Source organism: Homo sapiens, chromosome 16 (genome assembly GCF_000001405.40).
Source record: "Homo sapiens chromosome 16, GRCh38.p14 Primary Assembly".
Classification (NCBI taxonomy): domain Eukaryota; kingdom Metazoa; phylum Chordata; class Mammalia; order Primates; family Hominidae; genus Homo; species Homo sapiens.
The window spans coordinates 35,459,233-35,484,000 of NC_000016.10; the positions used below are offsets into that span (position 1 = coordinate 35,459,233).

Consider the following 24,768-nt stretch of genomic DNA (forward strand, 5'->3'; position numbering starts at 1 on the left):
CCTTACAGACCTCTCATGGGGCACTCTGGGAGTTGTAGTCTCTTCTCCGGTTCCAAACGGTGGCTGTTGTGGCTGCAGGATAACAGTCCCAGATTGAGACAGGGCAGAGGCTGTGTGCAGCCCTACAGGAAGGGGCAGGGTGGTGTAGGCCTCTTCACTTACCAAGATTTGCTGGCCATTGATTCCGTGCCAAACCCTTCCCAAGGGGATTGAGTCAGGAGAGGATCTTGAGAGTCACTCAGGGTCTTCCCAGAGCATCTGTGCCTCCTCCAGCCCACGGAGCTGCCTGATTTCCTAAGTGGCTGTGGGAACTGGTCTGAAGTACCAGACGCTGTCTACTGTGCTGCTGCCCTCTGTTCTATCTAACCAAAGTGCAAGTTCAGCTGCCTTTGAAAGACATCCACTGCCTGACCTGGGGATGCACGGGTTCAGAGCTTTGCAGGGAGTGAACATGGGCTGTGGCTTCATGAAAATATCACCCTCCCCAACGCGTTTTTGCAGATCTGGACTTGGAGGCACGAAGGACGGTAATCATTGGGTTACCAAGGTGTTACTAGGAGCAGAGGAGAAAACCGCAATTCCTAGCCATGTGTCTGGTGTGACATTTCGCCAACCCATTTAAGTGTGCAGACCCCCAAATATCTACCTAAAGATTATGATAGTTTAGGCATTTTACATTTAAAATTATTGGCTTCATGTCCACTGAAGCCTGACTGGCCAGTGTCTCAAAGACACAGATGATGATCTGATCCCTCAGGAACAGATGGTTCTCCAGCTTTGTTGGAGTGACTTTCAAGGTATGGAGCACTTATATAAATTTGCCTAAGAGTAGGATTTGTGCTAAGTACCTGTTCACAATAACATCAAGGTTGTTTTGATTTAAGGGTAGGGCTTACATAAGCAGTAGATTTCAATATATAACATAGATTCTTGAAACCCCCCCAAAAAACATTAAAGGAAGTACCTATGTCATAATTTTAATTTTTTATTTAGTAATTTAAAATCTTAACGTCTTGTTTTGTTAGCTAATCTTAAGTTTCTCACTAAAAATTAGCATGATTAAGCATGAAAATAATAGCTTTAAGACAGTTTTTACCCCAGAACCAGTGATTGGATAATAGGGTTCCAGGCCCTCCCCTTCAGGTCCTGCGTGACAGAATGTGAACCAATTCATAGCCAAGCGAGGAGAGAGTGAAACGTTCCTAGGTGCAGCCCCTTTCAGGCAGGACTTACTCCTTATGCTGAAACCTGGCCCTCACTATGAGACATTTGCATTTAACCTTGTATATAAGTTTATTTTTATTCATAAATTATATATATGCACATATATGTATATATACAGCTGGACATGGTGAATCTCACCTGTAATCCCAACACTTTGGTAGGCTGAGGGGCGAGGAGCTCTTGAAACCAGGAGTTCGAGACCAGCCTTGGCAACATAGTGTGAGCACCCTCCGCCCCCCAACCTTTTCTACAAAAAAAAGAAAGAAAGAAAAAATAGCCAGGCATGGTGGAGCTTGTCTGTGGTCCCAGCTACTTGGGGGACTTAGGTGGGAGGGTCATTTAAGCCTGGGAGGTAGAGGCTGCAGTGAGCTGAGATCAGGCCACTGCATGCACTCCAGTCTGAGTGACAGAGCGAGATCCTCTCTCTCTATCTCTTCCTCACTCTGTGTGTGTGTGTTGGGGAGAGGGGTGTGTGTTTGTGGGTGTGTGTGTGAGTGTGTATGTGTGTTTATTATTCAAAATGAAAACAACATAATGACAATTATTTTTATTTTTATTTTTTTGAGACAGAGTCTCACTTTGTCAACCAGGCTCCAGTGCAGTGGTGCGATCTCGGATCATTGCAACCTCCGACCCCGAGATTCAAGCAATTCATCTGCCTCAGCCTCCTGAGCAGCTGGGATTACAGGTGCCCACTACCTTGCCTGGCTAATTTTTGTATTTTTAGAAGAGGCAGGGTTTTGCCATGTTCTCCAGGCTGGTTTTGAACTCCTGAGCTCAAGTAATCCGCCCACCTTGGCCTCCCAATGTGCTGGGATCACAGGCATGAGCTGCCATGCTCGACCAATGACAATTATTTAAAAATTTTAGATTTTACAATCTTTCTGGCCTTTTGGCTTTTGAGGCAGCCTGAGCTGTGAAAATAGGCAATCCTCTATTGCAGCAATGTGCAATAGAAGTAAAATGTGAGCCACGTGTGTCAAATAAAATTTTGTAGTAGCAACATAAAAAAAGAAAAATGAGTGAAATTGATTTTAATAACAATATATCGGAAGTATTTTAACATATGATCAGAATTAAATTATTTTATATATATATTTTGGGAAGCACACAATTCAGCTCACAGCAGCCTCTGTCAGGACATAACGTTTACATTGAGATCCCAGTAACCTAGCAACAGAGGGAATGACATACAAAGATTCTGGGGAAGAAGATTCCACACAGATGATTCTATTGAGCAATGGTCCTGAAATGGGAGTGAACAGGGTGAGTTTTAGGAACCAGAGACCAGTGATGGCAAGGAAGAGGTATGAAAAGCAAGGAGAGGAGGTGAAATCACAGAGATCCAGTGAGATATATAAACTTGATTGTGATTTAAGCAGTTTCTACCTTTTGGATTTTGAGAACAATACTGTTATTAACATGAGTGTGCCAATGTTTCTTGCAGGTCCTGCTTTGAACATTTAGATAGATATCCAGAAATGAGATTGCCAGATCGTATTAGAATTCCATTTTTAGTATTCTGAGGAATATCTGTACTATTTTTCATAATGGCTGCATTATTATTTTTTCCACCACCAGTGTACAGTGTTCCAATTTCTCTACATCCTTGAGAACATTTGTTATTATTTCTTGTTTGATAGTGGCCATCCTAATGAGTGTGAGGTAATATCTCATTGGGATTTTGCTTTTTATTTCTCTCAAGATTTGTAGTTTTGAGCATCTTTCAAATTCCTCTTGGCCATTTGTATATCTGGTTTTTAAAAACATACGTTGATCATTTTGCCCATTTTTAAATAGGGTTATTTACTTTTTGTTGTTGAGTTTTAGAGGTTGTTTATACATTCTGGATATTAACGTCTATCAAATATGTTATCTGCAATTTTTTCTCATTTCTTAAATGACATTTTTACTCCACTTAATGTTTTCTTTGATGTCCAGAAAGCTTATTACACTTGATGTAGTCCCATTTTTCTGTTTTTATTCTTGTTACTTCTGCTTTTAATGTCATGTTCAAAAAATTACCAGGACAAATGTCACAATTGTTTACCCTATAATTTATTTTAAAAGTTTTAGAGCTATCTTACTTACATTTAAGTATTTAATTCATTTAAGATATTTTTGTATACAGTGCAAGTGAAAAGTTAAATTTCATTTTTTTTAATTTTGATATTCGGTTTTGTAACACTATTTGCTAAAGCGTCTGTTCTTCCCCTTTGTTCGGTCATGGCAACTTGATTGAAGATTATTTGCTGATATTCATGAAGATTTATTTCTGGGTTCTCCATTCTGTTTCATCATCTATTTGTCTTTCTGTTTGAATTTCTACAGCTTTGTAATATATTTTGCAATAAAGTTGCAATCCAACTTTGTTCTTCCCTACAGCTATTTTGGCTACTCATTGTCCCTTGAGATCCCATATGCATTTTAGGACTTAAAATAATATTTCTCCAAAAAAGAAAACTCAGCTTTTGTGCCAGACATGCCTTGAGATTCCATATAAATTTTAGGACTTAAAATAATATTTCTCCAAAAAAGTAACATTGAGATTTTGATATAAAATACTTTTCTTTGAATTTGTGCTTCAATCCAAGTAGTATTGACATCTTAACAATAATAAAATTTCTGATCCTTGAACAAGAGGTCAAGAGTGTGCTGTTTTAAGTTTCATATATATTTTGATTTGCCAGTTTCCTTCTGCTTGTGATTTGTAGATGAGGGCTTATTATGTTGCCCAGGCTGGTCTCCAACTTTTGGCCTCAAGCTATTCTCCGTCATCAGCCTCCTGATGTATTTGGATTACATAGATAAGCCACTGCACCTGGCCTCTTTATTGTTTTTCTTACATTTTTATGATTTGAAGGTAATTTTTGAAAAGATTTAAAAATATGTATCTCCTTAGAAGGTTTTCATTTTTAATGTAGTCAAAAACACGTAAAATTGACCATCTTAAATATTTTAAGTACATAATTAAATAATATTAAATATATTTGCACTGTCATGCAACATATCTCTAGAATGTTTTTGCTGCAAAACTGAAACTCAATATCTATGAAACAACAACTACCCCTTTATCTCCTCCCCTGAGGCTCTGACTACTTTCTGTTTCTAGGAGTTTAACTACTTTAGATATCTTATTTAACTGGAATCACACAGTGTCCTTTTGTGGCTGGTTTATTTTATTTACATAATGTCCTCAAGATTTATGTTTAGTGTAAAAATAATCAGATCTCCTGCTTTTAAAAAACTGAATAATATTCCATTGTTTGTATATTTCAAATTGTCTTTACCTACTCAATCACTGAGGGACGTTTGGGCTGCTTCCACCTATTAGCTTTTGTGAGCAATGCTGCAATGCATATGGATATACAAATAATTCTTCATTTGGCCATATATATGAGATTTTATTTCTGTGCTCTGTTCTTTTCCGTTGGTCTGTCTGTCTGCCTTTATGCCAGTACCAAATGGTTTGGTTACTGTAGCTTTGTAATACATTATAAAGTCAAGGAGTGTGATGCCTCCAATAGCATTTCTTTCTTTGAAGTTTGTTTGGTTCTCGATACTCACTTTAGATTCCATATAAGTTTTAGAATTTTTTTTTGTATTTCTTCAAAATAATATGACAGTTAAAATAAGATGGAGATGGCATTAAATCTGTAGATCACTGTGTAATGTGGACATCTTCACAATATTGTCTTCCAACCCTTGAATAAGAGCATGCTCAAAAGTATGTTGTTTAATTTCCACATGTTTGTAGATTTTGCAGTATTTTTCTGCTATCAATTTCTAATTTTATTCCCTTTTAATAAAAAATAATAGTTTGTAATATTTTAATCTTATTTTTTGTATGTTGTATGTTGACACCCTAAACCCCAGTACGTAAGAGTGTGGCTATATTTGAAGAAAGTGTCATCACACAGATAATTATGTTAAAATGAGGTCCTTGGGGGCACAGGTGGGGTGGTGGAGAGAAGGTCACATTATACAAAATTTCAGTTAGGAAGAATAAGTGCAAGAGATCTATTGTACTTGGTGACTACAGTTAATGTATTGTGTTCTTGACTAATACAGTAGATTTCGAGTGTTCTCACAACAAAAACATGATGGGTATGTGAGGTAATGCATATGCAAACTAGCTTGGGTTAACCATTCCACAATATGTGTGTATTTCAAAACAGTACCATAAATGCAGACAATTTTGTGTCAGTTACAATCAAAAAAGTTTTAAAATGAGGACCTTAGGGTGGGTCCTAATCCAATCTAAGTGATGTCTCCATGAAAGAGGAAATAAGGATACAAATGTGCACACAGAGAGAAATGGCCACATGAGGACACAATGAGAATGTGGCTACTTACAAGCCTAGGAGAGAGGCCTCCGAGAAAACACACCCTACCCACACCTTGATGTTGGACTTCATCCTGTAGACGAAGTCCTCCACCCTCCTTCATCAGGTGGAAGCCTTTGATTCTGAATATTCTCCAAATGCTGGAAGGTACAAAAGTGAAGAGACAGCACAGACCTCAGGGTGAAAAGTTTAAAGAGAATAACATCTTTCCATTGCTGTGTCCTATCCCCTACACACACCTATTCCAGTCTTTATTGGTCTTTTGTGTTTTCGTGTCCTGGGTATAGTGTTAGTTGTAAATCTGTGTTTACATACAGGATAACATAAAACAAAGGTAAACAATAAAATAAAAACAGACAGCAAAACTCAACTAATAGTGTTTGGGCATGGTGACAGTGAAGACAGGAGAGTCACATAAAAATGGAGGTGGAACTTTTTGAGCTAAATCAATGTCCTGTTGTGTTTCTGTGTTTCTACATCAGACTCTATAGTGGCAATTGTCAGGTTAGGTGTTTTTATCCTTGCCTGCTCAGTAAGTGCCAGAGGAGATTTTTCTAAACTGGGTGAGGAACAGGTAGAGAAGTGTAAGTGAGACAAACTTCCCTGCCATTTGCCAAAGTGGCAGCACATAATGTATCATGAGTGCCTCTACCCTCTGATATCCAAAATATCAACTCTATAGATGATGTTCTGTTGGCTCCTAATTTAGAAGCATCTGCCTTCATACTCTTTCCTAGAATGGTAACATCTCTCTGTCAGTAGCTGATAAAATTACTAAAATCTCATAGTTCTGTTTTCCAGTTAAGGTTCACTGCAACTATGTGGGCAGATTTACATAGCTCAATTCTTCCAGCTTGACATTGTTTTCTTTTGAAGCTTCTGAGAGAGGGAGTCAGCCTCCACCTAGAGGTGGCCCTTGGAGTTTTTGACACAGAATCTCCCTGACACTACTACTTACACTGATTTGAAAGTCAGTGTTGAGGTTGGCTTGCTACAATGCTCTTGTCAAACTGAATCCTGCCACATCAAGGGCTTGGGGCTTCCCAGCTTAATTTTCCAATTTTGAAGTGAGAGAATTTGAGTTCTACAAGACATCAGAAGACCGCTTAGAATATAACACATTCTAAAAGTAAATCGGAATGCCACAGGAACATCTTAGTTGTAAAAGAAAAATTAGGTTCTTTGGTAAAAATTTTATGCCCCTTGATATGGTTTTGCTGTGTCCCCACCCAAATGTCATCTCAAGTTTTAGCTCCCATAATTCCCAAGTGTTGTGGGAGGGACCCAGTAGGAGATAATTGAATCATGGGAGTGGGTTTCCCCATACTGTTTTCGTGGTAGTGAATGAGTCTCATGAGATCTGATGGTTTCATAAGGAGAAACCCCTTTGCTTTACTCTCATTCTCTCTTTTCTTGTTTGCCACCAAGTGAGACATGGCTTTTACCTTCTGCGATGATTGTGAGGCCCCCTCAGCCATGTGGAACTGTAAGTCCATTAAACCTCTTTCTTTTGTAAATTTCTCAATCTTGAGTATGTCTTTATCAGCAGTGTGAAAATGAATGAATACACCTCCCTTCACTGTTTGAAGAAAAACTGCTGGCTCTATGAGGTCTTCAGTTCACTGAATATTTTTTAAATGCCTAGCCCTAACTCACTGACAAGTCAAGGAAGCTGCCACCTTATGGTGTTCACTAGGCTACTGTGGATAGCCCTCATTGCCAGGCACACAGAACCTGAAGCAGGGGTGGCTGCTCCACTTAATGGTGAGAGCTCAGGGTTTTGGGTCATTGTACATGTTCTAACTGTTTGGTCTTCCACATTGAAATTAAAGGCTATTAGATTAAGGACATCCTTTTTCAGATTCAAATCATGCAGAATTTCAGCTGCTGATCTGTAAGGTCATTCATTTAAGAGTCCATGGTAAGGGTTGGTCCTCCGAAAATGCTAACCACAGTTAAGCCAAAAACCAAGCCTGAACCCATGTGTAATGCAGTGGTCATCACTGCATGCCAGATTTGTTCTCCTTGGTGAAAGTTGACCTATTTGTCTCATGGTTTAGAAGGCCCCAGACCATTCCTGGCATAATAACTGCATTGGCCTTTGGCCCACTTCCTGAAGTGTTGGTCATGTCTCACCACTATTAACACTTTTAGGATAATAATCAGCTGACTCCAGCCAAAGCATGTGTCCCTTGAAGCTCATTCATGTAATATTTTAGGCTTTTGAGACCAATTGCACTTAAATCACATTGTAACTTTTATCACTAAATCTGTTAACATGGCCAAACTGTTTGATTTTACTTCCTTTTTTCCTTTAGGTTCACACATGTTGGCTACGTAATTTGTTGATTGAATGTGACTGTCCCCCCAGCACCCAAAAATCTCTTCTTGACTGACTCCAAGATGAAGAGAACATCATTGAGTTCTATAGGCATCCATTTTCAAAATTTGATATTTCTCACTGACCTTTCCTGGACAGGATGTGTCTTTCTTTTCCTAAGCTGCAACCCCAGGCAAATCTTGTTTGTACATTCTCTGAATGGCAGTCCAACCCAAAGTGGGGTTGTGGTTTTCAACTTAGTTGTGGTGAACATTTACATAGTTCTTGCATCCATATCATCTGGCTCTACTAGAAAAAAAAATTACTAGAAGACAGTATGGGTGACTAGAATAGAAAAAATGACTACTTAAAATTATAGGTACTGGCATAGCACACATAAATTCTGTGGCTGTAGAGGAAAGACAAAAACCCAAAACCTAAAAGTGAACAAATTAGACCCAGGAACTACAGAAAAGGAGGGAAGTTAATATCTTTCTGTCTTTCTGAATTATCCCTAGTGTGGCCCAGAGAAGAGTTGGGGAGTCCTGTTGGGCCAGAATGAGTAGTAGTATTAGTTAGACCAAATGGTAGAACAGGATGGGTGGGTTCAGTTTCTCTAAGGAATTTCATCCTTTTGTGATGTAGACATGGAATCCCAGTGAGCATCCTGCACTCTCAGTGTCCAACTGTCTGAAACCACAGTTGTTTCTGAAGACTGAGAACAATTGCTTTTTGCTGAGGAGACAGCACTCCACAGCTGAGGTAAGGTGGATTCTATAGAGCATTAATTCCATTTTCTCCTTCTTCTGTGAGCTGGGTTTCTTTCTTCAGTTTTTTATCTAGAGATGAAATTACATTGTCAATATTTGTGTAAAATAGAGATATAAGTCTGGCAAGTAGACGCTTAGATGCAACCCTCAGCAGAAATTCTGGTCTGTTTTTCTTCTCACTTTTATTCAATTTTTGTCACAGAAAGATGCCCTGACATGTGGTCTCTCAAGAGTGATTAGAACATTGTACTTCTAGAGGAGTTAGTTGATGGAACATGGCAGAGCTTAGAATGAGGATGGAAGCCTCTGTCCAAATCTCCCAGGCTATCTATGTGTGGGAAGTGGAGTCAGGAAAGACCCTAGAGCTTTGGAAGTGATCATTAAGAGAAAACAAAATCCCTGTAAATTAGAGTACAAGGGAACATATTCATTAGCCACCTTTAGAGTCAGATGCTCAGGGCTGAGCTGGTGTGGGGAGTGTTCAGACCTGTGCATGCCTGGGAAAGCCTCCGATCATGTATGAATGGTGAGGCTTCTGGGTGCATGAGATTGAGTGCCCTTCCTTGGCAGAGCACCACTGAGTGAACAATTGATTTAGGATCAAGCATATGGAGATCAACTTTATTTTGAATATCTCAAAGACAGAAACTGAAAAGATTTTTTTGCACTTTGAAATTGAGTAAGGGTGTCAGAAACTTCAGTAAAAAAGTCACAGGAGGAAACCCAGAAGTCTTATTCATCCCCAGAAACCACCAAAATCCTGATCCAAACTGTAAGAATTCACCTCGTAAAAATTTGATTTTTGAATAGGAACAGCTCCGGTCTACAGCTCCCAGTGTGAGCGATGCAGAAGACGGTTGATTTCTGCATTTCCATCTGAGGTACCAGGTTCATCTCACTAGGGAGTGCCAGACAGTGGGCGCAGGTCAGTGGGTGTGCGCACCGTGCGCGAGTGAAGCAGGGTGAGGCATTGCCTCACTCAGGAAGTGCAAGAGGTCAGGGAGTTCCCTTTCCTAGTCAAAGAAAGGCATGACAGATGGCACCTGGAAAATCGGATCACTCCCACCCGAATACTGCGCTTTTCCGACGGGCTTAAAAAATGGTGCACCAGGAGATTATATCCTGCACATGGCTTAGAGGGTCCTACGCCCACAAAGTCTCACTGATTGCTAGCACAGCAGTCTGAGATCAAACTGCAAGGTGGCAGCGAGGCTGGGGGAGGGGCGCCCGCCATTGCCCAGGCTTGCTTAGGTAAACAAAGCAGCCGGGAAGCTCGAACTGGGTGGAGCCCACCATAGCTCCAGGAGGCCTGCCTCTGTAGGCTCCACCTCTGGGGGCAGGGCACAGACAAATAAAAAGACAGCAGTAACCTCTGCAGACTTAAATGAGCCTGTCTGACAGCTTTGAAGAGAGCAGTGGTTCTCCCAGCACGCAGCTGGAGATCTGAGAATGGGCAGACTGCCTCCTCAAGTGGGTCCCTGACCCCTGACTCCCGAGCAGCCTAACTGGGAGGCACCCCCTAGCAGGGGCAGCCTAACACTTCACACAGCTGGGTACTCCAACAGACCTGCAGCTGAGGGTCCTGTCTGTTAGAAGGAAAACTAACAAACAGAAAGGACATCCACAACAAAAACCCATCTGTACATCACCATCATCAAAGACCAAAAGTAGATAAAACCACAAAGATGGGGAAAAAACAGAGCAGAAAAACTGGAAACTCTAAACAGCAGAGTGCCTCTCCTCCTCCAAAGGAACGCAGTTCCTCACCAGCAATGGAACAAAGCTGGACAGAGAATGACTTTGACAAGCTGAGAGAAGAAGGCTTCAGGTGATCAAATTACTCCAAGCTACGGGAGGATATTCAAACCAAAGGCAAAGAAGTTGAAAACTTTGAAAAAAATTTCGAAGAATGTATAACTAGAATAACCAATACAGAGAAGTGCTTAAAGGAGCTGATGGAGCTGAAAACCAAGGCTAGAGAACTACGTGAAGAATGCAGAAGCCTCAGGAGCCGATGCGATCAACCGGAAGAAAGGGTATCAGCGATGGAAGATGAAATGAATGAAATGAAGCGAGAAGGGAAGTTTAGAGAAAACAGAATAAAAAGAAATGAGCAAAGCCTCCAAGAAATATGGGACTATGTGAAAAGAGCAAATCTACGTCTGATTGATGTACCCGAAAGTGACGGGGAGAATGGAACCAAGTTGGAAAACACTCTGCAGGATATTATCCAGGAGAACTTCCCCAATCTAGCAAGGCAGGCCAACATTCAGATTCAGGAAATACAGAGAATGCCACAAAGATACTCCTTGAGAAGAGCAACTCCAAGACACATAATTGTCAGATTCACCAAAGTGGAAATGAAGGAAAAAATGTTAAGGGCAGCCAGAGAGAAAAGCCAGGTTACACTCAAAGGGAAGCCCATCAGACTAACAGCAGATCTCTCGGCAGAAACTCTACAAGCCAGAAGAGAGTGGGGGCCAATATTCAACATTATTAAAGAAAAGAATTTTCAGCCCAGAATTTCATATCCAGCCAAACTAAGCTTCATAAGTGAAGGAGAAATAAAATACTTTACAGACAAGCAAATTCTGAGAGATTTTGTCACCACCAGGCCTGCCCTAAAAGAGCTCCTGAAGGAAGCGCTAAACATGGAAAGGAACAACCATTACCAGCCACTGCAAAATCATGCCAAAATGTAAAGACGATCGAGACTAGGAAGAAACTGCATCAACTAATGAGCAAAATAACCAGCTAACATCAAAATGACAGGATCAAATTCACACATAACAATATTAACTTTAAATGTAAATGGACTAAATGCTCCAATTAAAAGACACAGACTGGCAAATTGGATAAAGAGTCAAGACCCATCAGTGTGCTGTATTCAGGAAACCCATCTCACGTGCAGAGACACACATAGGCTCAAAATAAAAGGATGGAGGAAGATCTACCAAGCAAATGGAAAACAAAAAAAGGCAGGGGTTGCAATCCTAGTCTCTGATAAAACAGACTTTAAACCAACAAAGATCAAAAGAGACAAAGAAGGCCATTACATAATGGTAAAGGGATCAATTCAACAAGAAGAGCTAACTATCCTAAATATATATGCACCCAATACAGGAGCACCCAGATTCATAAAGCAAATTCTTAGTGACCTACAAAGAGACTTAGACTCCCACACAATAATAATGGGAGACTTTAACACCCCACTGTCAACATTAGACAGATCAACGAGACAGAAAGTTAACAAGGATACCCAGAAATTGAACTCAGCTCTGCACCAAGCAGACCTAATAGACATCTACAGAACTCTCCACCCCAAATCAACAGAATATACATTTTTTTCAGCACCACACCACACCTATTCCAAAATTGACCACATACTTGGAAGTAAAGCTCTCCTCAGCAAATGTAAAAGAACAGAAATTATAACAACCTGTCTCTCAGACCACAGTGCAATCAAACTAGAACTCAGGATTAAGAATCTCACTCGAAACCGCTCAACTACATGGAAACTGAACAACCTGCTCCTGAATGACTACTGCGTACAAAACGAAATGAAGGCAGAAATAAAGATGTTCTTTGAAACCAACGAGAACAAAGACACAACATACCAGAATCTCTGGGACGCATTCAAACCTGTGTGTAGAGGGAAATTTATAGCACTAAATGCCCACAAGAGAAACAGGAAAGATCCAAGATTGACACCCTAACATTACAATTAAAAGAAGTAGAAAAGCAAGAGCAAACACATTCAAAAGCTAGCAGAAGGCAAGAAATAACTAAAATCAGAGCAGAACTGAAGGAAATAGAGACACAAAAAACCCTTCAAAAAATTAACGAATCCAGGAGCTGGTTTTTTGAAAGGATCAACAAAATTGATAGACTGCTAGCAAAACTATTAAATAAGAAAAGAGAGAAGAATCAAATAAACGCAATAAAAAATGATAAAGGTGATATCACCACTGATCCCACAGAAATACAATCTACCATCAGAGAATACTACAAACACCTCTACACAAATAAACTAGAAAATCTAGAAGAAATGGATAAATTCCTCGACATATACACTCTCCCAAGACTAAACCAGGAAGAAGTTGAATCTCTGAATAGACCAATAACTGGAGCTGAAATTGTGGCAATAATCAATAGCTTCAACCAAAAAGAGTCCAGGACCAGATGGATTCACAGCCGAATTCTACCAGAGGTACAAGGAGGAAATGGTACCATTCCTTCTGAAACTATTCCAATCAATAGAAAAAGAGGGAATCCTTCCTAACTCATTTTATGAGGCCAGCATCATCCTGATACCAAAACTGGGCAGAGACACAACAAAAAAAGAGAATTTTAGACCAATATCCTTGATGAACATTGATGCACAAATCCTCAATAAAATACTGGCAAACCGAATCCAGCAGCACATCAGAAAGCTTATCCACCATTAGCAAGTGGGCTTCACCCATGGGATGCAAGGCAGGTTCAATATATGCAAATCAATAAATGTAATCCAGCATATAAACAGAACCAAAGACAAAAACCACATCCTTATCTCAATAGATGCAGAAAAGGCCTTTGACAAAATTCAACAACCCTTCATGCTAAAAACTCTCAATAAATTAGGTATTGGTGGGATGTATCTCAAAATAATAAGAGCTATCTATGACAAACCCACAGCCAATATCTTACTGAATGGGCAAAAATTGGAAGCATTCCCTTTGAAAACGGGCACAAGACAGGGATGCCCTCTCTCACCACTCCTATTCAACATAGTGTTGGAAGTTCTGGCCAGGGCAATTAGGCAGGAGAAGGAAATAAAGGGTATTCAATTAGGAAAAGAGGAAGTCAAATTGTCCCTGTTTGCAGACGACATGATTGTATATCTAGAAAACCCCATTGTCTCAGCCCAAAATCTCCTTAAGCTTATAAGCAACTTCAGCAAAGTCTCAGGATACAAAATCAATGTACAAAAATCACAAGCATTCTTAGACACCAATAACAGACAAACAGAGAGCCAAATCATGAGTGAACTCCCATTCACAATTGCTTCAAAGAGAATCAAATACCTAGGAATCCAACTTACAAGGGATGGGAAGGACCTCTTCAAGGAGAACTACAAACCACTGCTCAAGGAAATAATAGAGGTTAAATGGAAGAACATTCCATGCTCATGGGTAGGAAGAATCAATATCTTGAAAATGGCCATACTGCGCAAGGTAATTTACAGATTCAATGCCATCCCCATCAAGCTACCAATGACTTCTTCACAGAATTGGAAAAAACTACTTTAAAGTGCATATGGAACCAAAAAAGAGCCCGCATCGCCAAGTCAATCCTAAGCCAAAAGAACAAAGCTGGAGGCATCATGCTACCTGACTTCAAACTATACCACAAGGCTACAGTAACCAAAACAGCATGGTACTGGTACCAAAACAGAGATATAGATCAATGGAACAGAACAGAGCCCTCAGAAATAACGCTGCATATCTACAACTATGTGATCTTTGACAAACCTGAGAAAAACAAGCAATGGGGAAAGGATTCCCTATTTAATAAATGGTGCTGGGAAAACTGGCTAGCCATATGTAGAAAGCTGAAACTGGATCCCTTCCTCACACCTTATACAAAAATTAATTCAAGATGAATTAAAGACTTAAACGTTAGACCTAAAACCATAAAAACCCTAGAAGAAAACCTAGGCATTACCATTCAGGACATAGACATGGACAAGGACTTCATGTCTAAAACACCAAAAACAATGGCAACGAAAGCCAAAATTGACAAATGAGATCTAATTAAACTAAAGAGCTTCTGCACAGCAAAAGAAACTACCATCAGAGTGAACAGGCAACCTACAAAATGGGAGAAAATTTTCGCAACCTACTCATCTGACAAAGGGCTAATATCCAGAATCTACAATGAACGCAAACAAATTTAGAAGAAAAAAACGAACAACCCCATCAAAAAGTGGGCGAAGGATATGAACAGACACTTCTCAAAAGAAGACATTTATGCAGCCAAAAAACACATGAAAAAATGCTCACCATCACTGGCCATCAGAGGAATGCAAATCAAAACCACAATGAGATACCATATGACACCAGTTAGAATGGCAATCATTAAAAAGTCAGGAAACAACAGGTGCTGGAGAGGTTGTGGAGAAATATGAACACTTTTACACTGTTGGTGGGACTGTAAACTAGTTCAAACACTGTGGAAGTCAGTGTGGCGATTCCTCAGGGATCTAGAACGAGAAATACCATTTGACCCAGCCATCCCATTACTGGGTATATGCCCAAAGGAGTATAAATCATGCTGCTATAAAGACACATGCACAAGTATGTTTATTGCGGTATTATTCACAATAGCAAAGACTTGGAACCAACCCAAATGTCCAACAATGATAGACTGAATTAAGAAACTGTGGCACATATACACCTTGGAATACTATGCAGCCATAAAAAATGATGAGTTCATGTCATTTGTAGGGACATGGATGAAATTGGAAATCATCATTCTCAGTAAACTATCGTAAGAACAAAAAACCAAACACTGCATATTCTCACTCATAGGTGGGAACTGAACAATGAGAACACATGGACACAGGAAGGGGAAGATCACACTCTGGGGACTGTTGTGGGTTGGGGGGAGGGGGGAGGGATAGCATTGGGAGATATACCTAATGCTAGATGAAAAGTTAGTGGGTGCAGCACACCAGCATGGCAAATGTATTTATATGTAACTAACCTGCACATTGTGCACATGTACCCTAAAACTTAAAGTATAATAATAATAAATAAATAAATTTATAAAAAGAAAATTGTTGTTTAAAATAAGTAAAAAAAATTGATTTTTTTCACCATATAGATTTATCTTTCATTTGACCTTTATTTAATTACAAGTTTTAGTTAATACATTTTATTTTACCTTTATGATAGAAATATCAGATTCTTAAACTCAAAGCATTAATGATGCCTACCCAAGTGTAGTTTTTATTGCCAATTAACTTTCTACTATGATGCAAATTTGTGTGTCCTTCTAAAAACTCATTTGTAAAAATTTAGTCCCTGATGTGATAGTTTTAAAACATGTAGCCTTTTTGGAAGTGACTAACTCAGGAGGGCTTCATCCTCATGAATGTAATTAATACCCTGTAATAGAGGTTGAAGGGAGCACCCTTGTCCCTTCTGCCATTGAAGACACAGCAACAAGGCATCATTTATGAGAAATGGGACCCTCCCCAGACACTAAATTTGCTGGTGCTTTGATCTTGAACTTTCCAGCTTCCAGAACTGTGACCAACGCATTTCTGTTATTTATACATGACCCAGTCTAATGTATTTTGTTTTAGCAATCTGAACAAATGAAGACACTTTCTGATGCACTGTGGTTTATTTTTGAATTTATAGTTCCACTGAGCTATCTATATATTCAAAAATCAACATGTCTCACAGGGTGGGACAGCCACTCTAATTATTTTTTCAGAGTTTTCTTAGCTGTTCTTATTTGTGTTTTCATCTATAGGAGTTCTCCAATACAATGCCTGCTTCCACTACCAAATGGTATCTATATTGGGACAAAATTAAATTTATTAATTACTGCTAAAAAAATTGATGATTGAGTAATAATGAGTTTTTCTGCTTTAGAACATGATGTGATTTTCTATTTGTTTATGCTGACTTTCCTATATTTCGAAGACTTTTTATGTTCTTTGTCATACATTTTACAAATTCTTGTTAGATCTATGTATAGCTAGTTCATTTTATTTTGTCCTGTTGAAAAGTAAACTGTAGCACAATACAAATTATACAAGTTTTCTTGGCAGGGAATGATGATGCATATCTGTGGTTCCAGCACTTTGAGAGGCCAAAGTGAGAGGACTACTTGACAAGCCAAAGTGAGAGGGGTTGAGGCCAGCCTGGGAAACATAGTAAGACCCTGGCTCTACAAAACAGAAGAAGAAATTAGCTGGGTACAGTGGTGCATGCCTGTATTTCCAGCTACTCATGAGGCTAAGGCAGGAGGATGGCTTAAGCTCAGGATGTAAGGCTGCAGAGAGCTTTGATTCTATCTATGCACTCTAGCACGGGCGACAGAGCAAGAACCTGTTTCAAAAAACATTTTTTTCTTGAGTAACAAGCAACTAATGAATTGTGGAACACCGGACCAAAAGAGGTTTACCATTTTAGTGGCAAAGTGTCAGAGGTATTGAAGAAATGCGGGAGCAAAATATTAAAATTATTTGATTCATTGCAGGTATAAAATTGTCTTATTTGGTTTACCTTATAGACATATATTACTATAAGCTTTTTGAGTATTTCTGATAACTTAAGCTTAAATTCTGTTGTTGTTGTTTTTCTAATACAGGCATTCACAAAAAATAGCTCGCATTATGTTTTGCTTCTTTGCAAATCAACAAGATGATGTCACTGGGGAGGTCTAACTGATTCTGTCTGCTCAGGAATGTTTCCAAGGCTTGGTCTCCTTTTTAATTTACTTTATAAATCATTTTGTAATTTTTATCTCCCACACATTCTGTATCTTGTTAATTACTTTTATACATATGTAAATATATTTTATGTATGATTTCTAAGTATATCACTCATGAAAATTGACTGTGACACAGGCATACCTTATCTTATAGCACCTTATTGTGCTTCACAGATGTTGGATTTCTTACAAATTGAAGGGTTTTGGCAACCCTATATTGAATGACTCTATTAATACTATTTTTCCAACATCATGTCATCTTTGTGTGTGTGTATACCTCTGTCAGCATTTTTTAGCAATAAAGTACATTTTTTATTAAGGTATGTATATTTTTAATATAAACATGGGCTATTTCAATTTTATTCTACAGTATAGTGTAAACATAACTTTTATATGTTCTGGGAAGCAAGAAAAATTGTGTGACTCACATTATTGCAATATTTGTTTTATTGCACTGGTCTAGAGCAAAACCCATATATCTCAAAGGTACATCTATATATTTTTATTGAATTGGCCCCATTAACTGAAACGATAAATTGCTATTCTTTGACTAAACAAGAGCTGTGGAGTGTGGAGAGGTCAGTGTGAAAATGAAGTAGAAGTGAATATAAACAGTCTTCTAACTCACACAGGTAGTAATACAAATTAATTATGGATGAAATATAAAATTATCTAAAATTGAATATTCTCAGAAACATTAATGTTTATATCATTATGTATATGGACATTAAGAACATAATAAAAATAAATTTAGATGATGAAGGCTTTCATAATCTCAATGTAAAATGCAAGAATAAAAAATATAAAATTTATCAATGTATAAAATAAATGACAATATTTATATTATATTTAATATCCTGCAATACAGTACAATCAACTGTAATGTATAAAATAGAAGAAAGTTTAAATATGGAAAATTTAAAAGGAGGCAAATATGAGTCAGGTAAAGAATAAATAAGTATGATCAATTATATTTAAGATACACTGACCTGAGTTTTATGGAAAAATATTAATGGTAAACACCTTGTGGAGTGATTTCACCATAATTTTATTAAACTGTAAAAATATATTAACATTTTCCCACAGGGAGTACAATTAAAGATTTGTGGATATTAGTCCTCCATGGGCTCAGCGTGGGAAAGTTAGAGGCTACAGCCTTTTCTGAATTAAAAGAGAAACATATAACTTTTTATTTATTTTTCTACAATTTAAAATTTGCAAAGGCATATGAATGATTACATCCTAATATTTGTCTGATTATATAGAAATGCATGACTGTCACCAGACATCTGAAAGACATCAAATGTCTAACAAGAAACATAAAATTTGTTTATAATCTTAGCCCTCTGTGAAATGCAGGGTTCACCATTTTGAGTATATTGTTCAAGCTACTTTCCTATAGCAGGTTCTTGCTCTCATTCCAAGACCTGCAATTTCTGCTGAATGGGGTCAGGGTGCACCCAGCTCAAGCCTCATCTGACCCACTGACAGGCTCAGTTATCTCCTGCCCAGGCAAGGGATGGGCTTCTCTATCCAGGGCTGGATCCCCAGGGCCAGGCAATGTGGCTGAAACAAGCCAGTTCTTAGCAGGGAAGACATAACCTACCTGGGTGGCTATAAAATAGAAGGTCTGCACCTGAGCACATAGAGGCCGCCAGAACCGGGCAAGCTGAGTGAGCTGCTCCCAGGTCAGTGGAGAATGGACCTGCTGCACCGATACCCAGTATAGGTCTTGATAAATGGCCTTGACACAGCTTGTAAAGTCACCAAGCTTTTCTGAAATGACAGCCATTGAACTCCTAGGGTCTGAGACCTGTGCTGCTTGGTGCACCCAGTGTGAGTCATGAAAGGCCCTCTGTGGTGGGCATCACAGGTCTCCTTGAGTTTATTGCTGTGCAAAGTGGAGGACTTTAGTTTCTTTTTCAACATCAAGCTGTGCTCCTCTCCTGGACAGATCCCCGCAAAAGAAGCATGTGAGTGAGATACTCGCCAGCACAGTTCCCACCGACCCTCATTTCCAAAACCTCCCATGCACCTTCAGGTGAACATTTGAATCTTCCCCTCCATCCTGACCATATTAGTACTTAAATGAAGTGAAATTTAACACCTTCTGAGTCCCCAAATATTCTCTGAGTGCCAGGATCTCAAAAATTTTTTCAGTCACCTTGCTGCTCAAACCCTCTATAAAAGTCAACTGCTTATTTTCCCTTTGGGGGAAAAAGGCAAAATTCTACCAGCTCTGTCTTGGCAGCTGTCCTTGGAACCGATTTTCCTTTTCTTGGAGTTTCCCTCATGTGAGCTCGACTCTGGTTCTGTTGATAAAATAAGAGTTTGAGTAAGTGTCTCCAACCAAACACCCTAGAAGCCTTAGTTCATCCTGGACACAAAGGAGCTGAAGTAGCTATCAAACCCAGCTCTCCTCTGTTCTCCAGAATCCATGTCTATATGGCCCTGGCTGCCAAAGAGCTCCCAGTTTCCTTGCCAGGGGAGACTGTGTTGCAGCCCTTTCTCTTTTTACCTTGAAAGAGTCAAATTTTACCTAATCTAGCAGTGCTGTTTCTAGCTTTGGGCTTAGTTTTCTCAGAATTCTTCTCTTCATTTAGATTGGGCTCTGATCCTAGTGCAACATGGAATTTAGGTGACTCACCTCTCTCAGACACAGAGTCTCATAGTCTATCTCTGACAAATATTTGTGGATCAGTCCTTTAAGTGAAGCTCTTCTGCCAGTGTCATAAGTGAAGATGTTTCTCAAAGTCTCCCCAGGGCTCTAAGCCATCTTCCATCCCCAATTTCAAAATAAAACCCTACCCAGAGACACACAGCTCAGTATCCCTGATTCCAACACTCCTTCCAGCCTCCATAGGAACAGCCCAAGGCATTACCCTGTCTTTGCCTGTGCTTCTCACTGGAATGGGAGGAGGGGGTCTCGGCTTTTTGTTTGAATTGTCTCTTCTTATCTGAGCCCTTTTCTGTAAAGGAGATCTGTTGGAAAGAAGGCTGGTCAGTGGGGCATTGGATGGAGGAGCAGTGGAGAATTAGGGTATTCATTTCCCTTTCCCTTGTTTAAGCTCAAGTGAAAGGTGCTCTCTCTTACACATCCAGATTCAGACTGTGTGTTATTCTGCTGGACCTGCCTTTTACATGTCCTTGGCTGGACGTGGCATACTCCTATTGACTGAACAGTTTCCTTTTTCTTGCCACTCATTAGGGCCTCATAAGAAAAGTTTCTTGCTGTAGTTTTACTAGGGACCTAGACACAGTTAAAGAGGGACATTTTCTGGGTCTTGTCATAGTGTAAAAAAACCCTAAACAAACAAAAAACAAAGCCAGGGGCACAGGAATCAGAAAATAGGGGAATCATTTTTCTAATTTCTGTCCCAATTCCACCTGGAAGTATTTATGATACTGTTTATTTTTCAACATGCAGAATTAAACATACCTATATTGAAATGTGTCATACATTTGGCAAAGGAAGAGAATTACACATAGTGTTAAAATCATGTACATAGATATTATAATTTTTCAAATGCTTGGAAATGTCAAATTAAAATTATGGTTGATTGTATTAAATAGATACATATATGATAACATAAAAATATGAAGAAAAAGTAAATACCAAATAAAATGGCTCAAATAATTAGAGATTAGACAATTAATTAGACAATAATTAGATCAAATACAATCAACTCGAATTTATTTAATTAGAGCAGATGCTAACTTAATCAGCGCCTGATTCCTGAGGTAGCAAAAAGTCTAGGTGGAGAGAGAAACTTACCCCTTTTCTTACCCTTCCTCGGTCATCCTGGGAGCTCCACTTTCCTCTGTAGAATTTATTCAGCCTCCTTAGTAAACATGGACTTGGTCCCAAACAGGTAACCCAACTGACCACAAGAAAAGCAGCCTAGATCCTGAGCATTCAGCTCCTGTCTTCACACAACAGACACCACCTCAGTCCCATCAAAGCCTGTGAAGTTTCCCTACATCCACCATTGAGACATATTCCAGAGCAGCCTCTCAAAATTGCCTTAACAGGATGGGACACGATATGGTGGAGCTCCTGGCTCAGGACAGCTGCCTCACCCCTTCCTACTGAGAAGTCTGTATCTGCTGGTTAGAGCTATCAAACTGTAGAAGGCTTAGTGCCTGTCCCAGCAAGTGTCCCCTCAAAAGCCTTCTTGTTTTCTTTCCTTCTGAGAAAAGCATACAAGAATGAGACCTTCTATGTTAGAGAGAACTCAGCCTCCACTCTCAATTGACTTGGTTGACTGATGAATTGATGCCCTGAGGAGGGGATAGATTCAGGGAAGAGACTGTGCTGAATGAGTCTGTGTTTTCCTAGCTTTGCTGTCTGTGCAAATAGTGGAACCCAGAAAAATATCGGGTGGTAGACACACAGACACTCTAATTGTCTGAATTTAAATATTATTTAAATGGAACTTATAGTATCATTATATATTGATACCATAATATCACATAAAATTTGTTTGATATATAAACAAATATTGATATTTTATCATAATATCATAAAGCAGTTGTGCACACAATAGCAGATAATATTCTCCGGTTCTATAAAGTTTATATGTTAATGTTCTTACAAAATTTAACTCAGTTATTTTATAAAATTACCTAACAAAATTTTGTTACTGTGCTATCATAATAATACATAAAACTATGAAATCATAATATATTGTAATATAATACATATGAATTATGATGTCATAATGTATTATATCACAATACATATGAATTATGCCATAATATATTATGTCACAATACATACAAATTATGTCATAATATAGTGTGACATCATGATGCATGTGAATTATGATGTCATAACATACTGTGATGCCACAATACATACAAATTATATCATAATATAATGTGATGTCATAATATATTCATTTATTATATTTATGATTTTATAATAACATGAAATCTTGTCAGTTAATTTTATAAGAAAATTGAGTTAAATTTTGTAACAACATTAACATATGTAGAAGCTTACAATCATGGTGAAAGATGAAAGATGAGCAGGCATCTCACATGGTAGGAGTGGGAACAGGAAAGTTGGGATAAGGATACGCCTCATTTTTAAACCACCGGATCTCATGAATACTCACCATGACAAGAACAGCACAGAGCCATGAGGAATCCATCCCCATGATTCAAACACCTCCCACCAGGCCCCACTTGTAACATTAGGGATTAAAATACAATATGAGATTTGGAACAAATATCTAAACTATATCGTATGACCATTGGAAAAACAGATGAAACATTCATGGTTTCTACTGTCCAGATACTTTCATTCCAGAGCAAATGGCTAAATGATTGCATTCAACATTCTGAGGTCAGAAGAGAGAAGGGAGGTGTACAGGGGACTTTGGCTGCATTTGTTCCACTTCCCATATGCTGTTGTTGTGAGTTCTAACATTATCACCAGAAAGGCTATTCATGGACAGAAGAATTATTGCTATTGTTGTGATTATTTCTATTTCTTTTACATTAGTAAAAATAATTTTTTTAGCTTCTCATATAATTTTCCTAAAAAAGCCCTAAGAGTTTTCGTTAAATTCCTTGTTATTGTGTGTCATAAAAATTGACAGGGAAATGGCTAAAATAGATTAAAATTACACAAACTCTAGGAGTCAATTCTATCAGGCAGGCTTAGGAAAGACAGAACTGGAAATACTCCACCAGCAGAACACGAGATGCATAGGGCCCACTTTCTGTCCCTGCTGTCCCCAGGTCCACCCTCTTCTAAGGCCTCCTCCAGGTCTGGCTTCACCCTAGAATCTCCTCTCACAGAACTAATTAAAGGAGATCAGAAATTTGAGTGGTGACTCCTGCTGCCTCTCCTGCGCTGGTGCCCCCAATTTCCTGCAAATAAAAAGCAGATAAATGGGAGCAAATAGTTATCTATTTGTGGGCCACAATTTCTTTTTCATTGAAGCCATAGAGACATCCCATCTAGCAACCTGTTTTTTATTTTTGCATATCCAGTAGTTGCTCTACAAGGCACAAGAAAGTCAATATAAATACCAAAAAATCCCTCTGAACAGTTCATCCTTTCTTTCTGTATCCCTTTCATCTGTCTATACAGCTTTTATTCCATACATTTTCTTTTTAAGGTAAATAAATTTAAAAAGTGAAAGAAAAAATAGAAATGCTGGGCCCTTCTTCTAAATCCTAGAAATTATGGAACACAGCACCCACTTCCCAGGGTGTTATGAGGATTCACTCACATCATGTAAAGTTTCCAGCACAGTGGTCTGTAACAGACTTCTGAACACATAGTACATGCTTAATAAGCATTGTATTAACTCATGTGTACATGTTTTTTTTTTTTAATCCAGACTTACTCAAATGTTGATGCCTTCTCTAGCCTCTGTAATCTTTAAAGAACTGGCAAAAAATGACATGTTTGTAAATGGTGATTGGTGGTGTCCACGTTGAGCCAAAACTCTCTGTGCTGTGGTAAGAGTGTTGGGTATCAGGAATTCTGTGTGCTGTGCCTACTTTCTCTAGATGATTGCTACTACCACGGATGTAGTGGGAGAAACATCAGCATTAAGAGGAGAATTTTTAGAGAAGCTATTTCACGGACCCCTTCCAAAACTGCAAAATCACATCACTAAGAAAAAGGCCTGGAATCAGAAATGATTTATATGTGCATTGAAAATTGAGGGGCAATACTTCTCTAGGTGGCTCTCAGAATAGGCTTTCAACTATAATCACATGACCCCTTTAAAGACCTACCATAACCTGTACCCTCACCACAGATCCTGTCTGTTGATCTTGGTGGGAGCATCCATATGGTTTTAATTAGGAAGTCAAATTGTCCCTCTTTGATGATTACATAATATTATATCTAGAAAAATCTAAAGACCACCAAAAACCTTTTAGATTGGATAAATGAAATTTAATAATGTTTCAGGATTATTAAAAATCAATGTAGAAAAATTAGTAGCATTTTTATACACTAATAATGATCAAGCTGAGAACCAAATTAAAAAGTCAATTCCTTTTACAATAGCTACAAAAGTACCTGGAAATACAATTAATCAAACAGGTGAAAGATATCTACAAGGAAAACTACAAAACATTGATGAAAAAAATTGTACATAATACAAACAAATGAGAAAAACATCCCTGCTAATGGATTGGAAGAATTATCATTAAAATGACCATATTGCCCTCCAAAAATCTACATATTAAATGCAATTCCTACCAAAATGCCAATGTTATTTTTCATAGAATTAGCAAAAGAATTAAATTTATTTGTAACCATAGCAAAGTCTGAATAGCCAAAGCACATTTAAGCAAAGAGAACAAAGTTGGAGATATTACACTACCTGACTTAAAATTATACTAGAAAGCTTGAATAACCAACACAACATGGTACTGATACAAATAGACACCCAGATCAATGTAAGAGAATAGAGAACCTAGAAATAAAGCCACGTACTGATCATTTACAAAATCAATAAAAGCATACATGGAAAAATGACATTCTATTCAACATGTTGTGCTTGAAAAATTATATTACCACATGCAGAAGTATGAAATGGAACCCGTGACTCTCACCATGTAAAAAAATCAACTCAACATGGATTAA

The 24,768-nt window shown here is 38.5% G+C and overlaps 1 pseudogene across 1 annotated transcript; it reads right to left on the minus strand.

Moving 5' to 3' along the window:
* Positions 1-18,181: 18,181 nt before the first annotated feature.
* Positions 18,182-21,364, minus strand: FRG2DP (FSHD region gene 2 family member D, pseudogene; annotated as a pseudogene). Its single transcript, NR_026980.2, has 3 exons — positions 20,926-21,364; positions 20,033-20,132; positions 18,182-19,462 (listed from the first exon to the last, which is right to left on the minus strand). The product of NR_026980.2 is annotated as an FSHD region gene 2 family member D, pseudogene (transcript).
* Positions 21,365-24,768: the final 3,404 nt, after the last annotated feature.